Source organism: Homo sapiens, chromosome 3 (genome assembly GCF_000001405.40).
Source record: "Homo sapiens chromosome 3, GRCh38.p14 Primary Assembly".
Classification (NCBI taxonomy): Eukaryota; Metazoa; Chordata; class Mammalia; order Primates; family Hominidae; genus Homo; species Homo sapiens.
The window spans coordinates 8,509,467-8,533,621 of record NC_000003.12 but is presented as its reverse complement, the minus strand read 5'-3'; the positions used below and the strand labels follow the sequence as shown (position 1 = coordinate 8,533,621).

At 42.1% G+C, this 24,155-nt stretch overlaps 1 protein-coding gene across 4 annotated transcripts in view; it reads right to left on the bottom strand.

The window, feature by feature from the left end:
• LMCD1 (LIM and cysteine rich domains 1) overlaps positions 1-24,155 on the bottom strand; it is a 72,846-nt gene that overhangs the window by 41,047 nt on the left and 7,644 nt on the right. For 3 of the 4 annotated variants that reach the window (NM_014583.4, NM_001278234.2, NM_001278235.2), the window contains exon 2: positions 797-885. The exons of the other annotated variant lie outside the window; for it this stretch is intronic. In NM_014583.4, the coding sequence (NP_055398.1) occupies positions 797-885 (89 nt within the window). The remainder of the gene's footprint in view (positions 1-796; positions 886-24,155) is intronic. 4 annotated transcript variants of the gene reach the window in all.

Genomic DNA, 24,155 nt, shown 5'->3' with positions numbered 1-24,155 from the left:
AGTCAGTATTGCTGCGAAAACACCTTCCAAACTTTGTCCCCCCACTGAGCGCTCAAGGCAACGCTACAGCAGTGGTGATAAAAACTCTTTCTTTGCTATGTGCTCCACAGAACTTAACTTTCCTCTCCCAGGGCCGCAGGGACAGACTTACAGTCTGTTCCCTGCACACTCCAGAGGTGCCATCCACATAGATGCTGACATGAATGCTGCCCAGGGACGCTGCATTGTGGCAGCCTCATTCTTAACCTCAGAATCCTCAGTGGAAAAAAAGAAAGAAAACCTCTGCGAATCCAACTCCAGCTGGATCTTATGGTCCTCCTGTGCAGATATGAATACCAGGTCCTGGTTTTTAAGTACTGTGGACAGAATGACCTCTCTTTCTGTCCCAGGGGCCACTCTAGACCAAAACCCATCCACAGCGAAGTTGGTGCAGTGAGGGGAGATCACCCCATCCACCAAACCCCGAGGCATACCCCAAAGGCACAAGGGACCAGCTAACCTCTGCTTGGGTCTTCCCAGAGCAATTCTTGCTGGGCTGGGTTTGGTGGACTCTACCTTGAAATGGTTTAGGAAGTGCTAAACTCCTTCTTCACATCTTTACTGCCCCCGCCACACTCCCCCAAGGACTTTTTTCGTTTCTGAATTGGACCAAGCAGGAGTGCCTTCCCTCTGCAGCCATCCTTCCCTGACAACGCATACAACCAAAGCAGTCTCAGCGAAGAAAGCAACCAGGGTTCCCCGAGAGGACAGCCAAGTAACAAAGGCAGACAGGGACCCTCCTGACAAAATCTGTTACCTCCATGAATGTGGCTCGAAGCCCGAACACGTCCCCTTGCATCCCAAACATGCCACACCTCTTGCTGACTGCAGCTGGCCCAGGGACATCTGGAAAAGGAACAGAAAAGAGGGTGTTTTCCTTCCAAACATCTTGGACCGGAGATGCTTGACCTCTAAAAGACTTGGCGTGCTGGCAAAGGGACTGTGTGGGGTTCAAAGGGCTTGAGATCAATAAGCCATCACAAACTGTTTACCGGGAACTGAGAAGACCAAACAGGAACATGGAATGGGGCCAGAGGGTAGGCAATTGTGGAAGGGTGGGGCTCTTCCCAATAAGAATGCAATGGGGGTTCTTTCCCAGCCTCCAGTGCTGTTTCAAAACAGCAAGACTGGTTGGAAACGCCCTGCTGTGAGTGACCATCTATCTATTCCATCCCCCACCCTCACCCACTCTCACTTGTCACTGGAATGGAATCTTCAGTGAGTGTCTCCTCTCCCTCATTTATTTGTGATTTATTGATAGAGTGTGATTAAACCAAAGCTACAGGCACAAACAAATGTGCATTTTGCCAAATGTTTATAGCTTGAAGCATAACTTAAATATTTTGCTAAAACACTGAAAAATCACATGAGCACTTAAAATCTCCTTTGGAAGGAGAACAATGCATGAGACAGGTTTTATTACTTGCTACCAGCCAAAGGTACCAAAAGTGCATTTGCTGCTGCTGCTGAGGTGTTTAAACCCAAATGGCATCTTCAAACCAGAAGCGTCACCTGGGGCTTGCCAGAAATACAGACCCTTAGACCCGACTCCAGCCTGTTTGAATCAGAATCTGTACTTTAACAAAATTCCCAGGAGATCTGCATTACATTAACATTGGAGAAGAAGTGGGTTAGTAATATGGATCTGCTGGCTGAGAAACTTACCCAACTCTCCATTGGGGTTGGGGTGGGGACGACTTGGTACAGGGATGTACTTTATTATGATTTCACCTGAAGCAGGGCTCAATCAACTAGTAATGTAAAGGGATAAGCTTCTTATCCAACAAACATACCATTTATTTAGCATCTACTATGTACCAGACACAGGAATACAACATAAGACTCAGGTGTGCCCTAGTGGAACTCACTGTTAGCTAGGGGGATATGGAGAGAAAAACACATTCATCTCCTGCTCCTGTAAGGGGCAAGTCTGAGGTAAAGGAAGCTGCATGTTGTGTAGTAAAAGAGGCACGAATTTTGGAGTCTGAGAGACTTGGATTCCAAATCGAGCTTTTCAGTAACTTATTGGCTGCCTAGCCTTGGACATACTGAGCCTCAGTTTCCTTATCTGCCAAGTGGATACCGAGATAATATAGTAACGTGCAGGACCACATTAGGCACTAGACATGGTAACTGCTCTTATTTTGCCACAGATTTTAGAAGCACAGGGGAAAGTGTTAATAAATTCATATGGGAAATATGAGTTTATTAGAGCAGACTACTTCTTCTTAGAGGAGGTGACTTTGGATTTGGGCTGTGCAAGATGGACAGGCAGAAAAGGGAAAGGAGATGCCTAGCAGAAGGAAGAAAATGTGCAAGGTAAAAAAGGTATGAAAGGCATGATGAGTAGGGTATGCAATGTGAGCATGTCCTTTGGATGCTACTAGTCTACTCTCTTTGCATTTAAGAGGGAAAATACAAGCAGTGAAACTTGTGAAGCCATCCTCATTGCCAGTGGTAGAATTCAGACGTATGGAAAGAGACAGCTGTCCTTCACAATACTTCTCTTCAGCACCAAATCTTCTCACAATAATGCCTCACTCCATGCCTTCTATTTGGTGACTGCTGTGTACACCATGTCCCCACACACTTTGTCATTTTGTTCAATACATATTTACAGCTTCAGGGAGTGAGAGTCATGTTGCACATATGTGGAGTGTGGAGGGAAGCAGGTTTATATTTAGGCCTATTCAATGCTAGATTCATGTGAAAAGTGAAAATTAAGACAACACCCACTGCTAACTCATTCTCCTAAGCTGGGAGCTTTCTTTCACAGGTAGGACTTTGCTCCCTAAAGCCACTGGCATATAACCTTGCTCATTTCCACCTCCCCTTGACACCTTCAGTTCTCCTAGTTGAAATGCAGTGATCCTTACACACTTAATATTGGAGTCACTCAAAGTTTATTTTGGGAGATATACAACTTGTGAATAAGGCTTCATTGTTGGACCATTTCAGATATACTCAGAAGGCTGGAAACCGGAGAGGTAGGTGGAAGCATTTCCAAGTGGCAAAGCACCCTGCACACTTCAGCTTTATTGTTCTTCTAATGAGAGGCTGATTTAACCCTCATTCTACAAGGGGATTAGTTCTGATGCTTGGCTTGGAGAGTGGAGCTGCAATCTGTCTGCAAACTCGGGGTTTGATTTAGAATAGTGATGTAGGTAGCACAGCAGAGCAGAGCAGAGCACTCGCCGGTGATGCGGGGGTCTGGCCTTTGGGTGCCAACTCTGGCATTTATTAGCTGTGTAACTGGAGATGAGTCATTTCCTTGCCCAGCCTAAAGCATCTCTTCTGAAAAATAAGGAACTGGCTTGCACTGGGGTTGCCCACATTCTGTTCTGCAGGATCCTCACTTGGTGAGATGTTACGAAGTGGTTCCTGGTTGGGAGTGGGACAGAGAATTACCTGATCAAATACAAATGGCAGGCACTGGATGTGTAGAGGCTCCCGAGCCTTTAACAGGCCAGCCTACGTTAGAAGCAAGAAGTGAGGTAGAGAGCAAGCAACTGTTTCGGGTTTGGAGACCCAGGCTTTAGTCCCGGGTTTTAGTCTCAGTTTTTCCCCTTTCCTCCACTGTACTTGGGCAAGTAGGCTTGTTGAGTTCCATGACCTGCGTCATGGGGATAACAAGAATGCAACTTGCCTTGCAGGGTTACCAGGAGGTTAAACGGGATGCTGCCTGAAAAGGGCTTGGCACACACTTATTATGCACTGAGCGTTCTTTGTTGTTGTCATTAATTACATCTTGTGAAGAAAAGTTTGAGAGACCCTGAATTAGATATTCTCAACACATTTTTTTCTAGCTTCAAAATGCTAGGGGACTTCAGAGGAACTATTTTTTCTAAATACACACCCCCTATACTTTCTTATTCTCTACTTTTTTGACTTGTAAAAAGAGTTGCCTCTCTGACTAGGTTTTCCTACAAAATGTAAAAACAAAATAAGCTCACACATGTCCCATACTTAATGATTAACTCATTAAGTGAGGCCATCCCTAGCCCTTTGCCCTCGCGGTGCTCTGCTACCAATCACCTGAAGAGAATCGACGTTAAAATCTCAACAAGCACAAAGAAAGCCCATGCAGTCAGGCAAGTGAAGACACAGGCGACTGGCCTAGTTGGGCAAGAACGCTAAACTAAATGGAGGTTCAGGAAGCGAGAGTTGGCCCTGGTCTCCATCTGCTAGTGGGACAGTTTCCATGGCAACAGAAGTATGTGGGAGAGAAAAATAAATGGCCTTGCAAGGAAGAAATTGATTCAGGTCATCAGGCCACACTTGCAGCTAGTTTCCTGGCTGACTGTTTAATGCAATAAATAGTCATTTGTCCACTGCATGCCATTCATCCAGAAGCCAGACAGACCCCGCTATCTTCAACACAGAGAGAACGATCTTGTTTACTGAGGAGGGGAAAACATCAGTCAGCCACAGTCCCAAGTGAGATACTCTGGTTTATAAACAGTAGGTTTTTCTGATGTGGGCTCTGTCTCTTGAAAGACGGCACAGTGTCTCACAGTAGCTGAGAATAGAAGAGTTTAAAAGAAACCATCACTTAAAAAAAGGTTTCTTGGAATGCAGCATCTAATCTGTCCTTTCTCCCGAGAACAGAAAGAAATGTTTTGACGATTTTCCTTGGCTTGGGTTAGTAGGATGTGGTTCATTTGATATTATCGTGAAACTGAATGGTGGCAGGGACTTAAAAGGACTTAGATTAGACCAGGAGACCCCTGGGGATGCAAGGAGCAGGGGCAACTCTGGGACTCCTCTCTCAAGCATTTGCCTTCAGGTGAATCCCAAGGGAAGTCTTAGAGGGAAAAAAAATGTCACCAAGAACAATGTAGGGTTGAGAGGAAGAGGAATGTAAAAGAGAAAATGCAACTGGGAATTTAGGGATGAGCATGGGATTTGGAATTAGAAAATGGGGGTTCTCCTTCCAGCTCAGCTTCTTCCTCATGGAGTAACTCAATTGCCTCCTCTGAAAAATGAATTATCCCTGCCCTTTCTTTGTCTCAATAGGGCTGTTGTAAGCATCACGTAACATTAAAAGGCAGTAAATTGAAATAAGTATTTGCCATTGTTAAAAAAATAATTAGATGTGGTGGCTCATTCCTGTAATCCCAGCACTCTGGGAGGCTGAGGCAGGGGGATTGCTTGAGGCCAGGAGCTCAAGACCAGCCTGTGCAACATAGTGAGACCCCAATCCCTACAGGAAAACAACAACAAAAAAAAACTAGGTGTGGTAGTATGTGCCTGTAGTTCCAGCTTACTTGAGAGGCTGAGGCTGGAGGATCACTTGAACTCAGCAGTTTAAGGCTGCAGTGAGCTATGACCACGCCACTGCACTCCATCCTGTCCCCCCGGCCCCCTAGAAAAGTACTTAAAACTCAGACATAAGGCAGAAAGGTGAGTGGCACATCCTTTCAATGTCATATGGAGGCAATATGGCACTGGCTCTCCTCATCCCCATAGGATTATCTAGAGAAATTTACTTTGCTCAGCTCCAAGTCTTTCTGAAGTAACACGTTAACTTGCAGATCTTGGTCCAATAGAGACACAAACAATTTCTGTCCTTTCAAAAAAGATAACCCCAAATGTTATGGTTTACTGTTCTGGAAGACATTAACTAGTTTTGTAACTAACCCATCAATCTTGTCCTAACATTAAATTACTTATAAATACCTAACTCCTCAAGCGCTTTTTAAACTGGCCTAAATATCATACGGGTTCCCTCATTAATGGGTAGAACACAATCTTTGTTAAGTTTCACTTCATATTTGCACAACAATTGTGATTCTATCTTTTTGAAAGTGGTATCTTAGTACTATCACACGCCCTAATGATTACTCACAGGTTTCCTTTCTGAGGTGGTGCGTTCCAAATTGACACAAAATTCTATTCAATGCAGACGTGTCTTTTACAGGTTAAGTTCTATAAGCATACATGTTATTAAAGATTATTGGTCAACATGACTTGTTATTTAAAACAAACCCTTCCCTAGGGGTTCTGGGAGAGAAGCTGGAGTGAGATGGGTTGAGTGGAATAAAATTATCAGAAGGTCCAGGAAAGGACTGGAATTGTATTTAAAAATATGACCCTGAAACTACCCTACTGCCATGAATTTTACTCAGTGATTTTACTTAGTAATTCTCTTATTTAATAATATGACTTCCCACTGAAGTATAATTATTATCATCATTATTCCCAGTCAAAAGATGATGAATGACCTTGAGTCTGAGAGTGGAGAAGCAACTTGCCCATCCAGATGGTCTCCATTGGAGCTCCTTTGAAGGCAGTGGTGGTGGGGTATCCTAAATCTACCTTTTCCTATACTGGCCTTTAATCAAAAGTGTTTTATCTTTCCCAGTGATCATGATCATAGTTAACATTTATTGAGTACTTCCTATGTGCCAGGCACATGCCAAACATTTTCATGATATTTCATCTAAACTTCTTGACAACCTTATGAGATAATTTCATTAGCCTCATTTTCAGATAAGGAAACTGAGGCTCAGAGAGGTTAAGCTCTTCTTCAAGATTCAACAGCTAGTAACCTGTCCAAATTTGTCTCTATTTCCATATTATTTACTGTTTCCACCCAGATTCTCTTTCCAACCACCTGAGCCTCTTGCAGAACTAAATCCACGCAAACTCTGGGATTTTGCTTATGCTCATCTAAACCTCAGAGAACTTAAAACCTGCCGACTCTTTAGGGACCATCTTTAGTCCCATCTTTTCCATAATCAAAAGTAACAATAGTAGCTGTAACAAGTACTAGGATTTGTGGTTTTCCAGGCACTGTGTGAAGGCTGACCTTGTACAAATCTTACAACAACTCTACAAGGGAGGTATGTTGCAGTGGTTCTCAAGGTGTGGTCTCTAAGCAGCAGCACAGCAGCAGCGAACTTGTGAGCACTGCAAATTCTCAAGCCTCACCCCAGACCTATGAAATCAAACATTCTGCAGGTGGGGCCCAGACATCGCTGTTCAAGACCTCCAGGTGATTTTGATAAACAATTAAAGTTTGAGACCACTGATACATTGTTAGTGCCTCTAGGTTGCATATGAGTTAACTGAAGGGTAACTAACTGTCCTGGTTTGCACTAGACTGTTTGGTGCCTAGGATGTAGAACTTTTTAGTATGAAAACCAGAAAAGCCTGGAAAAATCCAGTATCTCTAGTTAAGTGGGGTTCAAAGGGGTCAAATTAAAGTGCTAGAGCTTAGATTTGGACACAGGTATCTGAATTCCAGATCCACATTTTAATTTAACCAATGCACTACAGTTCCATGCCAAAGAGCCTCTTCCAGATATTTTGGGGCCCTCACACGTTTTTCTCAACTCACACAAATGTAAAATTACAAATGGAATCAGTGCTAGGAAGGAGAAACAGTGTGTCATGAGATTGTCCTTTAGCAGGGGATTTTGCCTGTTCTGGGTGTGTGAGGAGGGGAGTGCTCCTTAAATTAAGTAAACACTCTGATTAGCACAAAATCACCTGGGATCTAGCTCAAATGCACACTCTGGTTCAGCAAGTCTGGGCAAGCCTGACATATAGTTCTACCTACCTCCCAGGAGAAACCATTTCTGCTGTCCCAGGGACCACGCTTTGAGTATCGAGGGGCTACAACAGTGGTTCCCTAACTTGTCTGCAACATTAAACTCTCCTGGGGATCTTTTAATGCTTCCAAAACTTGGGCTGCATTCCAGGCAAATTTTGCCACAATCTCTGGGGGTTGATTACAGGCATCAGTATTTCTGAAAGTTCCCAGGGGATGCCAATGTTCAGACAAGTTTGGGAATCATTTGGTCTCACCATTGTAACTTCAACCGTTCCAACTTGGACTTTTAGGCTCTCAGCTCATTGTCTTAATAATCTCCCTTCCTGGACCTTTGTGCACTGTTGTGAGGAATGTAAATTGGTACAGCCATTATGGAAAACAGTATGAGGTTCCTCAAAAAATTAAAAGTAGAACTTCCATACAATCCAGAAATCCCACATCTGGATATACATCCAAAGGAAATGAAATCAGTATCTCAAAGAGATAACTGCCTTCCCAAGTTCACTGCAGCGCTATTCACAATAGCCAAGATATGGAAACAACCTAAGTGTCTGTCAACAAATAAATGGAAAAAGAAAATGTGGCACATACACCCACGTACACACACACAAACACACACACACACAATGGAATAATATTCAGCCTCAAAAAGGAATAAGAATAATGCCATTCATGACAACATGGATGAACTCAAGGACATTATGCTACGTGAAATAAGTCAGGCACAGAAAGACAAATAATGATCTCATTTATATGTGGAATCTAAAATAGTCAAACTCATAGAAACACAGAAGAGAACTGTGGTTGCCAGAGGCTGAGGATTAAGAGAAATGGGAGGATGTTGGTCAAAGGGTACAAAGTTTCAATTAGGCAGGATGAGTAAGTTCTGGAGATCTAATGTAAAGCATCATGACTATAGTTAACAATACTGTATTCTATACTTGAAATTTGCTAACAGGGTAGATCTTAAGTATTCTCACCATGTAAAAAAATTAGTTTGATTAGTACACAATGTATATGAATATCAAAACATCAATTTGGGCTAGGCTCGGTGGCCCACGTCTATAATCTCAGCACTTTGGCAGGCCAAGGAGGGTGACTTGCTTGAGCCCAGGAGTTTGAGACCAGTCTGGGCAACATAGTGACACCTCATCTCTACAGAAAACTAAAAAATTAGCTGGGTATGGTGGTTCACTTCTGTGGTCCCAGCTACTCAGGAGGCTGAGGCGGGAGGATTGCTTGAGCCCAGGAGGTTGAGGTTGTAGTGACCTGTGATCGTGCCACTGCATCCAACCTGGATGACAGAGTGAAGCCCTGTCTCAACAACAACAACAACAGCAACATCACAAATCCATCAAGTTATACCTCTTAAAGACATACAATTTTTATTTGTCAGTTATACCTCAATAAGGCTGAAAAAAATTCCCTTTTCATAAGCAGCTTGTGGACCACCATTCCCTACAAGGAGAGTTTTTTACAGCAAGTCTGGCTTTTATTGTTGTCATTTCAGCATCAGCCCTGGCACAAGCCTGCCCCACAGGTTTTGGTGCCAAATGCAGTCATTCTCTTAACCAGACCGAAGGGAAACCACAACCCTTCCTCTTCCTCTAAATTTCACTGACTGGCTGACTCCTCTCTGGGGCACTCATGGATACTGAGACCCTCTGCCCTGCCTGAGGCGAGGGGTGGTCCCCAAACCCTCCCCAACTTCAGGTGGAAGCTTCGACTGAGGATTCCCACCAGATGAGGGGGCCCAACCTGGGAATGTGCAACACCCAAATGGTTGCAAGCTGCATGGGAAGTCTTTTTTTTTTTTTTTTTTTTCCTTAAGAAGTATGATTTTTCTGGGGAGTGCCCTGGCCAGGAAGGCTTTTTTCACTTTCCCACTTAAGAATCCTGGGGCCTATACCTACTATGTACCCACAAAAATTAAAAGTTTAAAAAAAAGGAAGACTGGGGTCTTGACAAGGGTCTGGACTTCTTCCATTGTTTGAAGCTCCCAAGAATTGAAGCAAGGAATTGCCAAAACAGGGTTACACAATCTTAACAGAGTAATGGAATCAACATACTTACCAATACGATAACTGCCTGTCCATAACTTAAAGTCTACATTTGTTGCCCTTCCTGAAAGTAAATCCTCTGCCTGACCTCTCCTCCTGAGACAGGTCCTGTGTGTCACCAGAGGAGGATGCCAGGGGGTTGGAAAGCCAGGGATGCTGAGGGAAGGTGAACAATGACTCTTTCCAGTCTATTTGCTCTTAAACATCAGGGTGACTTTTTGCATCCTATTCCACAATCTATATTTTTCCTGTTGTAATGTAAAACAAATGTTCCCCATCTTGCTCCCTCCAATCTTAAAGCAGAACCGCTGCTCCATGTTTATCCTTTGGCTTCTTGCTCACTCACCTCCCCAAGCTTTGGGAAGCCCCCACGCTAGGGCTTCAGGCTGTGGCCAAGAGAATCCTGTCTTCCCAAGTATGATATGAAAGAGTGAGACTTGCAGCCCACTTTTATGGCAGAAATCAACCAAAAAAATGACTTGGATAAAGTGCATCCTAAAACACAGTGAGTCTCACACAGACAGCAACAAAGACCTCGTTTACATTGGGGTCATATGACAGATGCTCTTCAGGGAGCTGTGTGTGCTTGTGCATGTGTGTGCATGTGTATGTGTGAGAGTGTGTATGTGTGTTCAAATCTACCATTTCTACTCCAGGGTTGCTCCTTGGGCATTCCTATTCCTCTGTCTGGACAAGCACAAATGTGAAGAAATCCCTTTAATTTAGAGACTCTTTTCCTGAATTGTGTAATGAAGATAAAAATGCACAGACTAAACAAATTGAGATGAGCCCTACTGATCTAGTACTTAGAATTCTATGGATGGAAACTTTTGTTTAGTTTTGTTTTGCTTTTAAAGATCAATACTATTTAAAGCAACAGAATGAGAACACAATTGGTGGATAATGTGCTGATGGCAGAAGTGCCTGAATCGGCAGCCCTTCAGGGTAAAGATTCCATGATTTTTCCTATTACATGGTTTGTGTGTGTTAAATTTATCCCGTGGACTGGTTGTAGTTGGAAGAGTCAGATGGATTTATCTCGTGATGTCAGGAGTTTCTGGTGTCCCAAATAAAATTTTAAGCAAATGCTGAATGAAAGAATAGTTTTTACTCTCTATGACAAATGATATATTCCCTTTAATTTTTAATTTTTAAAAATTAATTAAATTGTTCAATCATTCCTTTTTTTCTTTCCTCTCTCAGGATTAGTTTTTCCAGGTTCAACTCAAGGGAGAATTTAGGTTTGGGGCCAAATATACCATGTTCTCCTTAATGTTCCTCTCTCTGGACATGTCATGTCTAATGGGTGAGATTAAGTTAAAATCAGGTTGGTCACAAAGGAGGAATAAATTCACAGAAGCCCAACCTGCCAAGGTGGAGCATGTGAGAGGCTGGAGTGAAGCATGGTAGTCCCAGACCCTTTGGGGAACTGATGGAAGGGAACTGTTGCTTCTGTGACTCCCACAGCAGCTGTCCCTGAAGTCTCTGTTCCAATCACCGTGTTCAGGCTCCTTGAGGAACACACCCCTGGGGCAGTTCTGGAAAAGGCCGGCCAATTCCTCCTATCAGCTCCGCAGGGCAGACTCTTGACTTTCCTAGACTAGTTACCCACTCTCCTCCCCGCTGCAGTCTCCAAGCCACCATGGATGCCCTTTCATGGAACACTGCTGAGCTTGTAATCACTTGTGTAGCTCTGCCTTCCCCTCCAGGGGAGGGGATGATTGGAGACCACCAAGGCTGACATCATCTGTGAACAAAAGGGGTTAATCTGGCTATAAAAACAGAGTAGAAAAGTAAATCCATATGTGGAAAGGGAAATACAAAATGAAAGCTTTCTCTGTTTAAGACCTTGCTCCTGCCTCCCCCCAACCCATCTCTGCTAGCCAAGCTTCACTGATTTGAGACTGGTTCCAGGAAAGCCAAAACACCCAGACCCTGGGCCATGAAAGAAGTAAGTGTATAGAAGCCTGTGCTTCCTTTTGAGGGGTTGGGTGATGGTGGTGGTTCTAAAACTGTACTCCACCTGAGAAGCTGACCCCACCATCTGCATCCATCTTGAAAAAAAACAAAAACCAAAACCAAAATGAAAAAACAACTCTCCTTCTGATTAAGAATCTATGATTGCAATCACAGTTCCCTCGGTCATCTGGTCTACCAACCGAATCTACCAGCACTGTCTACCTATCATCACAGTATCACTTGGCATAAGGGAGAAGACACCATGAGTGCTCTGCTAGCCAAGATAGGAGACTATCTGCCCCTTTTTCTTTTTCTTCTGTCTGCCTTTTGGATAATTTTACTCTTTTGTATTTTTAGCACTTCCATCAAAAATAGACAAAGAGGTGATAAGACTCAAATCAGCACATTTTTCAAGGGTTTGCAACTCTTGGAACAGCCTGATGTGAGGGACGTTTGGACAGAGGAGCTATAAGCAATTCTATAAAATCATTCGCAGGCTGGGCTCCTTCTCCCAGTTGGCATGGGCGACAGCCTTTGAGAAGGGGAAGCATGGAAAAAGTCACAGGATCTCTCTTTTATCTGTCAAAGGGGATGGAGTTGGGGTCACTTTGAAAAAGAGGAGTATGGAACGAGGCAAAAAGTTCCAAATTCTAAATTCAAAGATTCATTGCTGGGTGACTGGATCTGTGTGATGGCACATGGAACATCTAGGAATCTGGCAGTCCTGGCCCAGGACACGGGCTCCTTGTTGAACATTCTGTTGGCAGGGCGAACACGAAGATGACTGAGGGGGAAAGGAAACCAGCCTTTTTGGCTGCCAGCTTCTTGCTGACAGCTGATGTTTACATGTTGTTGTATCCAAAGCAGGCCCACAAATCTTACGTATAAGGGACCCCACTGGACTGAAGTGATAGGATTTTTAAGGCTGAACTAATATTTTCCTTTGACACCAGCTCCCTTTGAACTAGCTACAGACACTGCTCAGGCTAACGTGAATAGTGAATTGTACAAAGGCAGACTGAGAAAACAGCCAAGAAGCAAAACCATTTTCCGCTGTTTCAGAATTGTCCACGTTTCTAGAAAAGTCAGCCCGTTATTTGAGGGGCTACCTGCTTAATTCAGTCAGTGAGAGGATGGTCCTCTGATCTCCTTCCATTTGTGGACTTTTAATGAATCTTTTGAGATCACTCAGAGTCCCAAAGGGTGGGCATTGTTTTAATTGCCTATGAAAGGGATTCCTATAGGGCAAAAGTTGACCTGGCATTTCTTGCCAAACTAAATGCTTCCAGAGGCTCCAACACAATTGTTTTTTCTCTTGGAGTTGTCTTTTTCTTTCCCTAGATATGCCCTGTCAGCCTTTCGGAAAATGTAGTAAAGCCACCAGCATCACTATGAGCCACAAGTTATCCAAACTCCCTGGGAATCTTATTTAGTGATTTACCAAGTAGCTTGAGGGAAATCAAGATAGAAGAAAATAAGGTCCCTGTGGGGACCCCTTACTCCCCTCCCACCCTGCCTTTCCTAAATTAGAACAAGCTGTTGGTGTCCCCAGGCCTAGTGTCTTCAGGTTACACTTGGAAATTAAAATCTAATTGGTTTTGTGGTTCTTAGGTTTCTGCCCTTAACAGACTCCTTCTCAAGGATATATCTGTAAGCTTGAGGTCAGCAATACCTACTTATTATACCTCCCTAGTTTTATAAGATGCTCCTGATTTTAGCAGCCTGATGTCTTAAGAATGTCATCCTGTAGGAATGTCATTTGGTGTGTGTGTGTGTTTGTGCATGCATGTGTCTGAATTCCAAATTTGCAGTCCTACTGATCTTTCCAAGGATAACACACTTTTATTGGAGTTAATTTTGGAAATAGGGGAGACATAACACACCAAGTTGGTGGATTTTTAATCTTGCCTGTCTGAATCTTAGTATCTTAAAAGGAAATGTGTTGTATAAACGTACAGCACTATTATTAAAAGTCTTAAGGCTTTGCTTATGCAAATGCTTCCTGCTGGGAATCTCACACCTAAATTCCTGGGTTAACTATTATGACAATGGAAGCATTGACACACACACACACACACACTCTCTCTCACACACACACGTGTGTGCACATGGAAAAGGATTTCCTTCAACCAACATTGGAGTCTTGATGGTAAAATACCACTTGTGTTTTAGTGTAGTGCCTTCAGCAAGATGTTTTCCTGGTTTTAAACAAGCATCCTTCTTATAAAAGACTCCTTTTTCTTTTCTTTTCTTTTTTTTTTTTTGCTATCATATGTTTTTAAAACTAACACTAAATACACTTTTTGGTTCAGATGTTTTATCCTTTCCTTGATTTTCCCCCTGCATAATGATCTAATTGTACACACTATATATACTTGGATTCTGCATGTAAGAAAGTCATAGATCTTTAGGACTAAAAGGAACTTACAGAGTATTTAGGCCACATTTTTCTAAGCTCAGTTTTATGAAACAGAAACTAGTGAACGGTCCTTCACGTTGCAAATAATTCACTTTCAAGGTCTTGTTTTTAAAACTCATTTGCCACAATTCAGATGTAAAACAGAACTACAGAAGCCAAGTTACTTTCCAGAAAATTATCTCTTGAGTACATTCAGAATTATTCATTTAACCATATGTCCCAGGAAAGATGCCAAATTCCTGCATACTTCTGAGCCTGCCCACATACAGTTCCTTCTGTTTAGACCATTTCTCTCTTCCTTTACCTAACAAACTTCTATTTATCCCTCAGACACTCCTATCATATGGTCTTAGAAAACCCCGTACCTTGTATTTTGTAGTATCTACCATGATGGTAATTATTTAATTATGTATATAACTCCTCAATGTCATTGTTTCCTGCTAGACTGTAAGCTCCATGAGGGCAGGGTCACTTTATGTCTAGTTCATTGCTCTATTACCAGTGTCTAGAATAATGCCTTGCACATAGTGGCTCCTCAATAAACATTTATATAAAACACCTTCATCTATGCTTCACCCATGCCCTCATCTATGCTTCATCTATGCCATCATCTATGCTTCTTGGCACATCAAAAGCTAATATATGTTAGATATCCTGCATCTGAGGATGATGCCCAAAAGGGGAGTTAGAAGGAAAGAGAGGCACCCTGGTTTCCTCTGGTTTCCAGGATCCTAGCCTCCTCTGGTTACGCCAGCCCCTCTGACTACCCCTTTCTCTGCCTTCCTCAATAACTTTCTTCTCTCCCCAAGGTTCTCCCACTGGCTCTTCTCCTCTCTTCTTAGAATCTACTCATAGTTTCAACTATTCTCTCCAGCTCTCATCTTTATCTCCAGGAGTGTTTTCAGCTCCTGGAATCTCTTCATGGATAGACGGATGAGACTGCCAACTCGCTCTCTCCCTGCTTCTCCTATGTTTATGGTATCCTTGCCTGTCCAGCCACCCAGACCTGACATCTGAATCCCAGTCAACTGCTCAAGGCAAGGAGACTTGGAAAGAAATGCTGTCTTCTTGCTGCAGAACCCAGTTTTCCTCATCAAGTGGTCCGTTTCTAGTTTGTGTCATCCCTTGTGTGGTATACTCAGAAGGCAGGAGATGACCCTCTGATGGGACAGCCAGTTTCTTGACCTTCTGGAAGATGACTCACTAGAGAGAGAAAATCAGACTGCTCTAGAAAAACTCTGCTGCAGGCTTCTCCATGAAATAGAATACAGACAAGCACTGGGAAATCGTGAAAACTCAAGGCAATCAGTGAGTCAGTAAGCCTTGCAGCCTTTCCATGGCATTTCTGGTCTGGGCTCATTGCTTTGGAATATCCCTTGATCCACTCCTGCCCTTGAATGATTTGCTGACAAAGTGTTGGGGGAGCTCTGTGCATGTTGGAGCTTAGTGTTGAACCTGAGCCCTGGCTACATTTTTACTACCTGTGTGGACCCTGGCAAATAGTTTCTGTTCTCTGAACCTTGTTTTTTTTTTTCATCTTTAAAATGGATCATAATCCCTATGAGCTTCATGAGGTGGTTGTAGGAATCAAATATTTTAATGTACGTAAGATGCTTTGAAAACCAAGAATAATTAAGCATTATATGTTTATAAAACCTCATGTTCCTCCTTCATGAATTTTGTTCTCCATATACCATCTGTGTGATTATTGACTTTTCTTTAAACACATGTTTAAAAACATATTTCTTGAAAAAAATTATCTCTAAAGTGTATAAAAATTAGATGGTAACCACAACAAATGCAATAAATATGAGTCATTAAATTCTAGCTAGGTATGATTGCCTTTTAAAAGTTCTGAGCCTGGGAACTACTTGCCAATTGTTTAAAGTGAAGTTCAGCAAGTGTTTGGGATGATAAAGGCGTTTTAGCATCAGAAGGAGACTTCCTCCTTGATATAATCAGAAGAATGAAAGAACTGAAATGAGAGAAAGATGCTGACTAACATGGTTCAATGTTGTCAGTGCATGCCTGTGTATCAACTAAATTCATCTTTAGACCAACAAGTCCACGACCCAAACTTCTGGAACACTGAAAACATGTTAGATATAGGTTAGACATAGTACAGGTTGAGCATCCCTTTTCCAAAATGCTTAGGACCAGAAGTATTTCAGATTTTGAATACTTTTCAGTTTTGGAATATTTGCATATATGTAATACGATATCTTGGGGACAAGATCCAAGCCTTAACCTGAAATTGTTATGTTTCATATACACATTATACACACAACTTGGGGGGTAATTTTATACAATATTTTAAATAATTTTGGTGCATAAAACAAAGTGTATGTACATGAGGTCAGGTGTGGAATTTTCCACTCATGGCTTCATGTCAGCACTCAGGAAGTTTCAGATTTTAGAGCATTTCAGATTTTCATACAAGGGATCCTCCCACTGTACAGAAGGAAAAGGAAGAGCTATGGGTTGAATTGCCCACATTTCATTCACATTCACCATGACTAAGTATGTAACCATGGGACTTAATCCCTCTGGATCTTAGTTTACTCATCTGCAAAATGGGATGATTGTAAAATTCAGCAAAAAATGATGTAGCACAATGCCTGGCACCTGGCCTGTGCTTGGTAAGAGCACTCACTATGCCTCGTGCTAGAGTAAGGCCTCTATTTTATCTTCACACATCAAAGGTACGACATGGTTGAAATTTCTGGTGTTTTGGTTCTGAGGAGTAGAGGATGACTAATAACACTAAGGATAAAACTTGGGGCCATTTTTCTTACTAGCAAACTAAAGAGGAGAATTAAAGTGAATAATTGGATCATTCGGATTTTAAAAATATCAACCAACAAAGCAATTTCTCCCTGCAAAACTTTGAATAGACCTATCCACTCCTTCAAGAGTGTTGTGGTCAACATGGTGTCAAGGGCTTGGCTAAAATTATAAAGCACTGAGAGGTGCTGATATTAAGCATTTTTTTTTTAAAGGAGTGCCAACTCTAAGTTTTCAGGATAAGAAGAAATATGATGAATTCAAGGCCTTCTCAGGATTTCTTGCACTTCAAAGAGCATGTACTTGGCAATGATTCCGCCACTTTCCTGAGTTTGGTCAACGTGGCTGAGGAAAGGCAAAAGTCTTAAAATCCAGGCAGATGGAACTTTTCCACTGGCCCTATTTTGGTATAAATATTCATCAAGGACTAGAAACTTAAAGTAGATAGCTGTCTGAGCTATGAGAGGTTTGCACTAAATTTCAGCCAGTTTTCGGTTGTCCCTCCGGCTCTTGTCTCTCAGGAGGGCCAAGCCTCCTGAGATGCAGCTGCTGTTGTTCCGTGATCCAGGCCAACCGCTTCCCCAGACCACGGAAATCACTAGAGTTTGTTCTCAAGAGATGTCCAGCCAGAAAGAGAGGGCCTCGAGGTTCAGATGAAGGTTCAAGTTAGTTGTTTGAAAAAGGGAAATGAATCAAGGCCTGGCTCGTCCACCATCCTAAAGCCCATCTTTTTGTAGACAAGCTTGAAGAAGGAGAATAAAACTTGAAAGCATAAAAAAATTCAGGGTCTGGTTTGGTGCGCTGGCTTCCCCAATTTCTCTCACTTTCATTTCCTTTTCATCTTAAGATTCCTCCTAAATGCTACCACGAAGTCTCCTCCCCACTCCCCCCACCCACTCCTACTTTGCCAGTTCTGATCTTGGTGCAGAATGGGAAGGGGCCACACTGAGGGGTGCTTAAATAGGTTAATGGTCTCCCCTCCTCTATTCCACAGCTGTTTTGTTTTTGTATCCCCCGCTCTTAGGGTCTCTTTCCTTCTTTCTAACCCCTCAGAATTCCTTGTCCCTGTCAGAAAGGAGAACAAAGCTGCTCTTACCTCTTTTGATGCCTTTCCGTCTCCTATTTCCCGATTCCATCCCACTCCCTTTTCTATCCATTATTATCACTGAGCCCATAACATGTGCCAGGGTTCCAGGGCACACCCAAAGGGGAAGACGGAATGGTCTCTGTTCTCAAGGAGCATAACATGGAGAATTTCAGCATAAACAGGATATGATGGTACAGGAGTTAAGCAGGCAAGACAGCCACTGTAGATGCTTCAGGGCCATTCAGAAAAGTAAACGTGCATTCAGCAGGAGAGTAAGTCCACACGAGGACTTCACAGGACAGAGAACTTAGTCAGAACTGATGGTTTTATGGAGGAGGGCACTGAGGAAGGGGTGGGATTTGGGGCCGTGGAGGAGGAAACCCTCTCAGCACGCCCACAAGGAAGAAAAGTATGTTCAGGGAATGAGTGACATTCTGGGGCAGCAGAATGTTGTAGTGGAAGATGTGGCTGAAAAGGGACCCATCACAAAGAAACCTGGATGCCAGGCTAAATTCAATGGCAAGATTTGAAAGGGTCCTGGTGGCAGCTCCTGGAGACAAAGTTCTCCCCTAACGTGACACCTCCAGGGGGCTGCAGCAGGAACTCACTTTCCATGCTTTGGCCTCACATTAATCTGCTGCCTGGATACATATCACTTTCCAACTGTTTATCAAATACTGCCTCTATTATTATCTAACAGTACTTCAAAGGAAAACTTACATGCGGTCGAAATGCACCAATCTCCAGTATTCGCTCGATTACTTTATATGTATATCCCATGTGATCACCATCTAGATAAACACGTAGAATATTTTCAGTGGCCCAGAAAGTTCCCTCAGGCCACTTTCTATTCAATAAACACCTCTTCTTATAAAGGTGGTTGCTATTCTGATTTCTATCACTGTTGATTAGTTTTGCCTGTTTTCGAACATGGTAAAAATGAAATTACACGGTGTGTATTCTTTTGTGTCTGGTTTCTTTTTCTGTCTAACATGTTTAAAATTACCCATGTTGTTACATATATTAGATTTTTTGTTACTAAGTAATATTCTGTTGTATAAATATAAAATGATTGGTTTATTCATTCTCCCGTTGATGGAGATTTGAATTATTTCCAGTTTGGGGCTATAATGAATAACATGGCTCCAAATATTTTTGCCCAAAATTTTTTTGTGAATATCTGTGATCCTTTCTTTTGGACATACACCTAGAAGTGTAATTGTTGGAATACAAAGTGGATATATATTTAACTTTTTAGATACTACCAGACAGCTTTCCACGGTGGCTGTATCATTTTATATTCTCCCTGGCAATGTCTGTGAGTTCCAGTTGCTCCACATCCTCTCCAGCACTCTGTCCTGTTGGTACTTAATTTTACCATTCTGCTGGGTATGTGACACTGTCTCATTGTGCGTTTGTTTTTCTGTAATGAATAATGATGTTGAACATGTTTTCTTATACTTTCAGCTATTTAGATATCTTCTTTTGTGACATGCTTATTCAAGTCTTCACCTGTTTTTTAAAAATTGGATTTTTAAATTGATTTGTAGAAGTTATTTATATATTCTGAATACAACCCAGATCTCTCTATGTATGTATGTATGTATGTATCTATCTATCAATCATCTATCTATATACACAAATATATATACACACACACACACACATAAATATTCAAAATGAAGGTCAAAGCATCTATTTCTTGGGTTTCTTCCCACCTTCAGGGAGACTTGGTGTCAGCTCTTAGCTGAGTGAGATGGCCAGCAGACATCCCCCAGGGTTTGTCTGGGGATCAGTATATATAAATACTGCAAATATTTTCTTTCTGTGGATTGCCTTTCACTTTCTTAGTGGTATCTTTTCATGAAAGCAAGTTCATTTTAATGGCCAGCCTTCATAGTTATTTATTGAGTACTGCCTCCAGAGGAAAAGACACAAGCATGCAAAATTTGATTACCCTGTTACTGTTTTAGCATTCCATATAGTAATAAGCGATGACAACTTTACAAATAATTTTTAAAAGTTTTTGATATTACCTCTATTTATCAATCATTTCTTCTTTGCCTCCTTAGCCTTCTTTGATTTTGTATACATCCCTCCCTTTTTTCTTTGAAAGTCATGTTCTACATGTATGCATGTAGAACAGTGCTGATTTTTCTTGAGTGTTTATGACATGGGTTTGGAGTTCTTCTCTTGGTGCTTTAAAGCTGCCTGGCACCTCTTTCTTGCCATGATTTCCCACATTAAAAATCCTCTTACAAGAAACAGGATAGCTGGTGGCACAGAAGGGCTTCCCCACCTGAGTGAGGACAGGAGAGGGAATTATCCTAGCCAGGTGGAGGAGCTGGCACAAGTAACAAGATGGATCCCCAGACAAACCCTGGGGGATGCGTGCTGGCCATCTCACTCAGCTAAGAACTGACACCAGGTCTCCCTGAAGGTAGGAAGAAACCCAAAATATAGATGCTCTGACCTTCATCCTGACCAATATGTAGGACTTAGTAGGTTAACTGGGACTGGGACTTCAGAAAAAAATGGCCATTACCTCCTTGAATCTGCCAAGGAAATAAAGAAAACCAATAAGGAGAAGTTACATACAGAGAAATTTTAGCTCAAAATAACAAAGAGCTTTCCAATAATCAGAGGAGTTAAAAAAATTAGACATCTTCAGGAGGTGTGAGTGTTCCTCAGTGGTATTCTGACAGCAACTAGCTGCCCAGCTCATCTTGTGTTTATGGGGAAGTGATTCTACACAACACAGTTTTTAAAAGTCTTTCTGAACTTGAAAGGCCATAGTACCTTGAATTCTAATCCTACCTCTCCCACTAACTAGCTCTGTGACCTCAAGCAAGTCATCTGGCTTTGCTGGGTCTGTTTCCTCATCTGTTAAAGAAGGCAGTTGACCTAGAGAATCCCTAAGCCTCTTCCTACCTCTTAAAAGTTAATTTTAATTGCTGAAATACACAGTACAAACATTATTCAAATAAATATAGGATGATTTCCCCTGTGATGGTCCCATTTCTGGGCTGGGCTCATGGAAATGTGGAAGGTGGGTGATGACAGCCATTTTAATTAGCTGGGAATCTCATTATAGGGTTGTATCTTCCCCATGGGCCATTGAGGTCTGTTGGCTGTGTAGGAGGACAGATTAGAGGAAACAAAGCTTTTCCATCAAACCTTGCCCTTTCTTCATGTCCTTGTAAACACAGGGATGATCACCATAATGTTATTTTTCAGATAATTGCCAGGGAATCATCTGGGATTTTATTTTTCTCTGTTTAATGTACCATGTACAACTGACAAAAATCAAGGACAATCATCCTAGCAGCACTGAGATATCCAAGCCATATGTGTTTCATTTCAGTGCATCGCCTGCTCTAGAATACAGCAAGAAGGAACTCACATTTTCAGACCAAGTCAGATATTTGAAGTAAGAACTGTGTGAAAGAAATTGTTTTGATGCAAGATTCCAGATCTTGTTAACCAAGGTCCCATATTTCAGAATGCTGGTTTGCTTCCTCACTTCCTAACATCAAAAAGTCTTACTTGAGATTTCTTTTCCTCTTGTTATTAAATGGCTTCAGAGTGAAGCTCAGGGTGCACACACATGCTGTGGTGTTCTGAACGGTGTTTTCATGTTCTGCTCACATGTGCCATGTGCTGGATCTCACGGACGTATATGTGTGTGCACATACGTGTGTGTTCCTTTCTTTCCATATATATTGCATATTTTTGGCTACCTTTTTTTCCTGCTGTCAAAACACAGACCTGTATCTTCCTGCAAAAATTCAAACTCAACTTGGGGGAGTTTGCTGGAACTCCATTGCAGGGCTTGGGAGAGCCTCAAGTCACCATCATGAGAAGTTTTCTATGTGCAGCCTGACAGGCCTTGCTATCCTGCCACCCCAGTGGGTTTTGCTTGAGAGGAAGAGGAACAGGTTCTCAGATAAGAAGATAAAAGATGTGCATTTGTGGCTGGATGAATACAGTGGAATGTATTTCTCCACAGTCCAAGATGGGTGATATTCCCCAAGTTGGAAATCAAATAGGATGGAGAATATGGGTGTCAGATTCAGAAGGCATAAAACTGGACTATGGCCTGATCCTAACAGCTCATTCATCCTTGTCTTTCAACACTCAGCTCAAATGTCCCCTCTTTGGGACGCCTTTCTTGACCTCCCCAGGTAAGATTAAGTATTTCCTCTTCTGATCTCTCTCAGTCCCACACATGTACCCCGATCAAGGTCTTTAGGCACTGCTATGATTCTTTGATGATTTGATTAGGCTATTCCTTTTCTGAGACCATCAGATTTTAAAATTCCTTTCCTTTTATTTCTTCATTTCCCACCTCAGTCCCTGGCATATAATATTTGTGTAATACAGGTTTAGACAAAATAAATTCTTAGAGTTGGCCAAATCAAAGGTGAGTTTAAAAAGTTTCAACAAAGTAATGTGTTTATTCTCTTTACCATTTCACCTTCATTAGGTCTTTTAATGGTGAGGATGCCTTGTGTTTAACACACATTCCTTATATGTCAAGTACTGTGCCAAGAACTTAGATGATTGTTGTGAGTACAATAACTTTTAGGCCCCTTTTATTGATGAAGAAACTAAGGCTCAGAACTAATATGACTTGTTCGAGGTAATAGGAAATGAGTGGCAGAGTTGGAATTTGAATTGAGTTTGTTTACTCCAAGAGCCTCAGACCTCAATCCACTACAGCTGTATGTGTGTGCATATATGTTTACCTATGCATAGATGTGTATATTTGTGTGTGTGTGGCGTGTAATGCTGCTAATGCCTCAGCTTGATGTGGAAAGAGTCTTTATATTTTTAGGTTCTTTGTCTATCTGACATGAGAATATCTCTTCTTAGGAAATGTCTTAAATGCATAAGATAAAAATACAAAGAAAACCAATATTACTGAGATAGTATCAATATATAAAAACAAATTTGTGACTTACTAACAGATGTGCCTTTACTAAGTTAATGAATATGATCTAGCAGTGGGTATAATTATGGCCATTTCAGAGCAGGGATGAGTATAAATTGTAGGATGAGGATCTATCTCAGCTGTAATGTGATATAAAAATACCTGCTTTCCATTGGTATCAAAGGCATAGGAGCTGCTAAACTTCTAGGGCGTTTGTCTTTATTCACAGTAGAAAGAAATGCTAAATTTCAGTTATAGGTTAGGGATAAAAAATGCAATACTTTTCCTAATTTAAGTTCCCTGACACCCTCAATTCTATCTACAGATCCTAGGTTAAAAGGCTGTCCTCTATTCACTAACAAGATTTCAAAACATCTCTCTCTTATACTTCCTCTAAAATAAGAAGCCCCCAGATGCTGACCTCTGCCCACATTAGTGTCAGATCCTCTTAACAAGGAGACTGGCTGGCCGAGCCAGGGTTGGGGTGGGGAGCACCCGTGTGCCGTGGTAGGAGGGGTGGCTCTCCTCCAGGATGAGGGCAGAGCTGGGATCTACTTTGCCTTCACCTCTTTCAGCCAGCAGATTGCACGGGTCAGTCACCTCGATGGTCAGCCTCATGAATCAGTACCTAGAAACGCCACTGAGTCATACAGCCCAAACAGATGCTCTCTTCTAAGGGCAGGTTTCTTATGAGGTCATTAGTCAGCCAAGAGCCCTTTCCCTATGCTCCTGCCCTTTGGTGTCCCTGACATCAGTACTGTGAAAAATACAACCCAAACATTCAGCTGCCTCTGAAAACATATGCTGAGCAAAGACAACTGGTCTACCACTGTATCGCTGTAGGAAGGCTGAGGGACCACTGGCTGCTGGTGGGACCTAAGAGCTGCCAATAGTCCCCCTTGCCTCAGCCTCCTTTTCACTCAGTGCCACTGGTGGTTTCTTCCCAAAGGCCCTATTTAAAATGTGACAACTGGGAGGACTACTACACTCATTCTACTGTTACACTGTAGGGATGACCAGAGTTGAGATGTGGCTCTGAAGGTGTGTGTCCTGGAAAATCTGAGGGTGGTTGGAAAAGGAAGGAGAGGTATGTGTGTGTGTTGGGGAGGGGAGAGGTCAAGGAACACAAAGACTCACAGAACACTGACATTATTTGGCCTGTCTCCTGCCTTATGAAAAATAAATTCTACCAGACTCAAGTTTACTTGGCAGGGATCAAAGCTTTCCTATTCATTGTCATGTATTCAGTACTTAGCACAGTGGCTGGCACATAACAGATGCTAAATAAATATTTGCTATATAAAGAAATGAGTGAC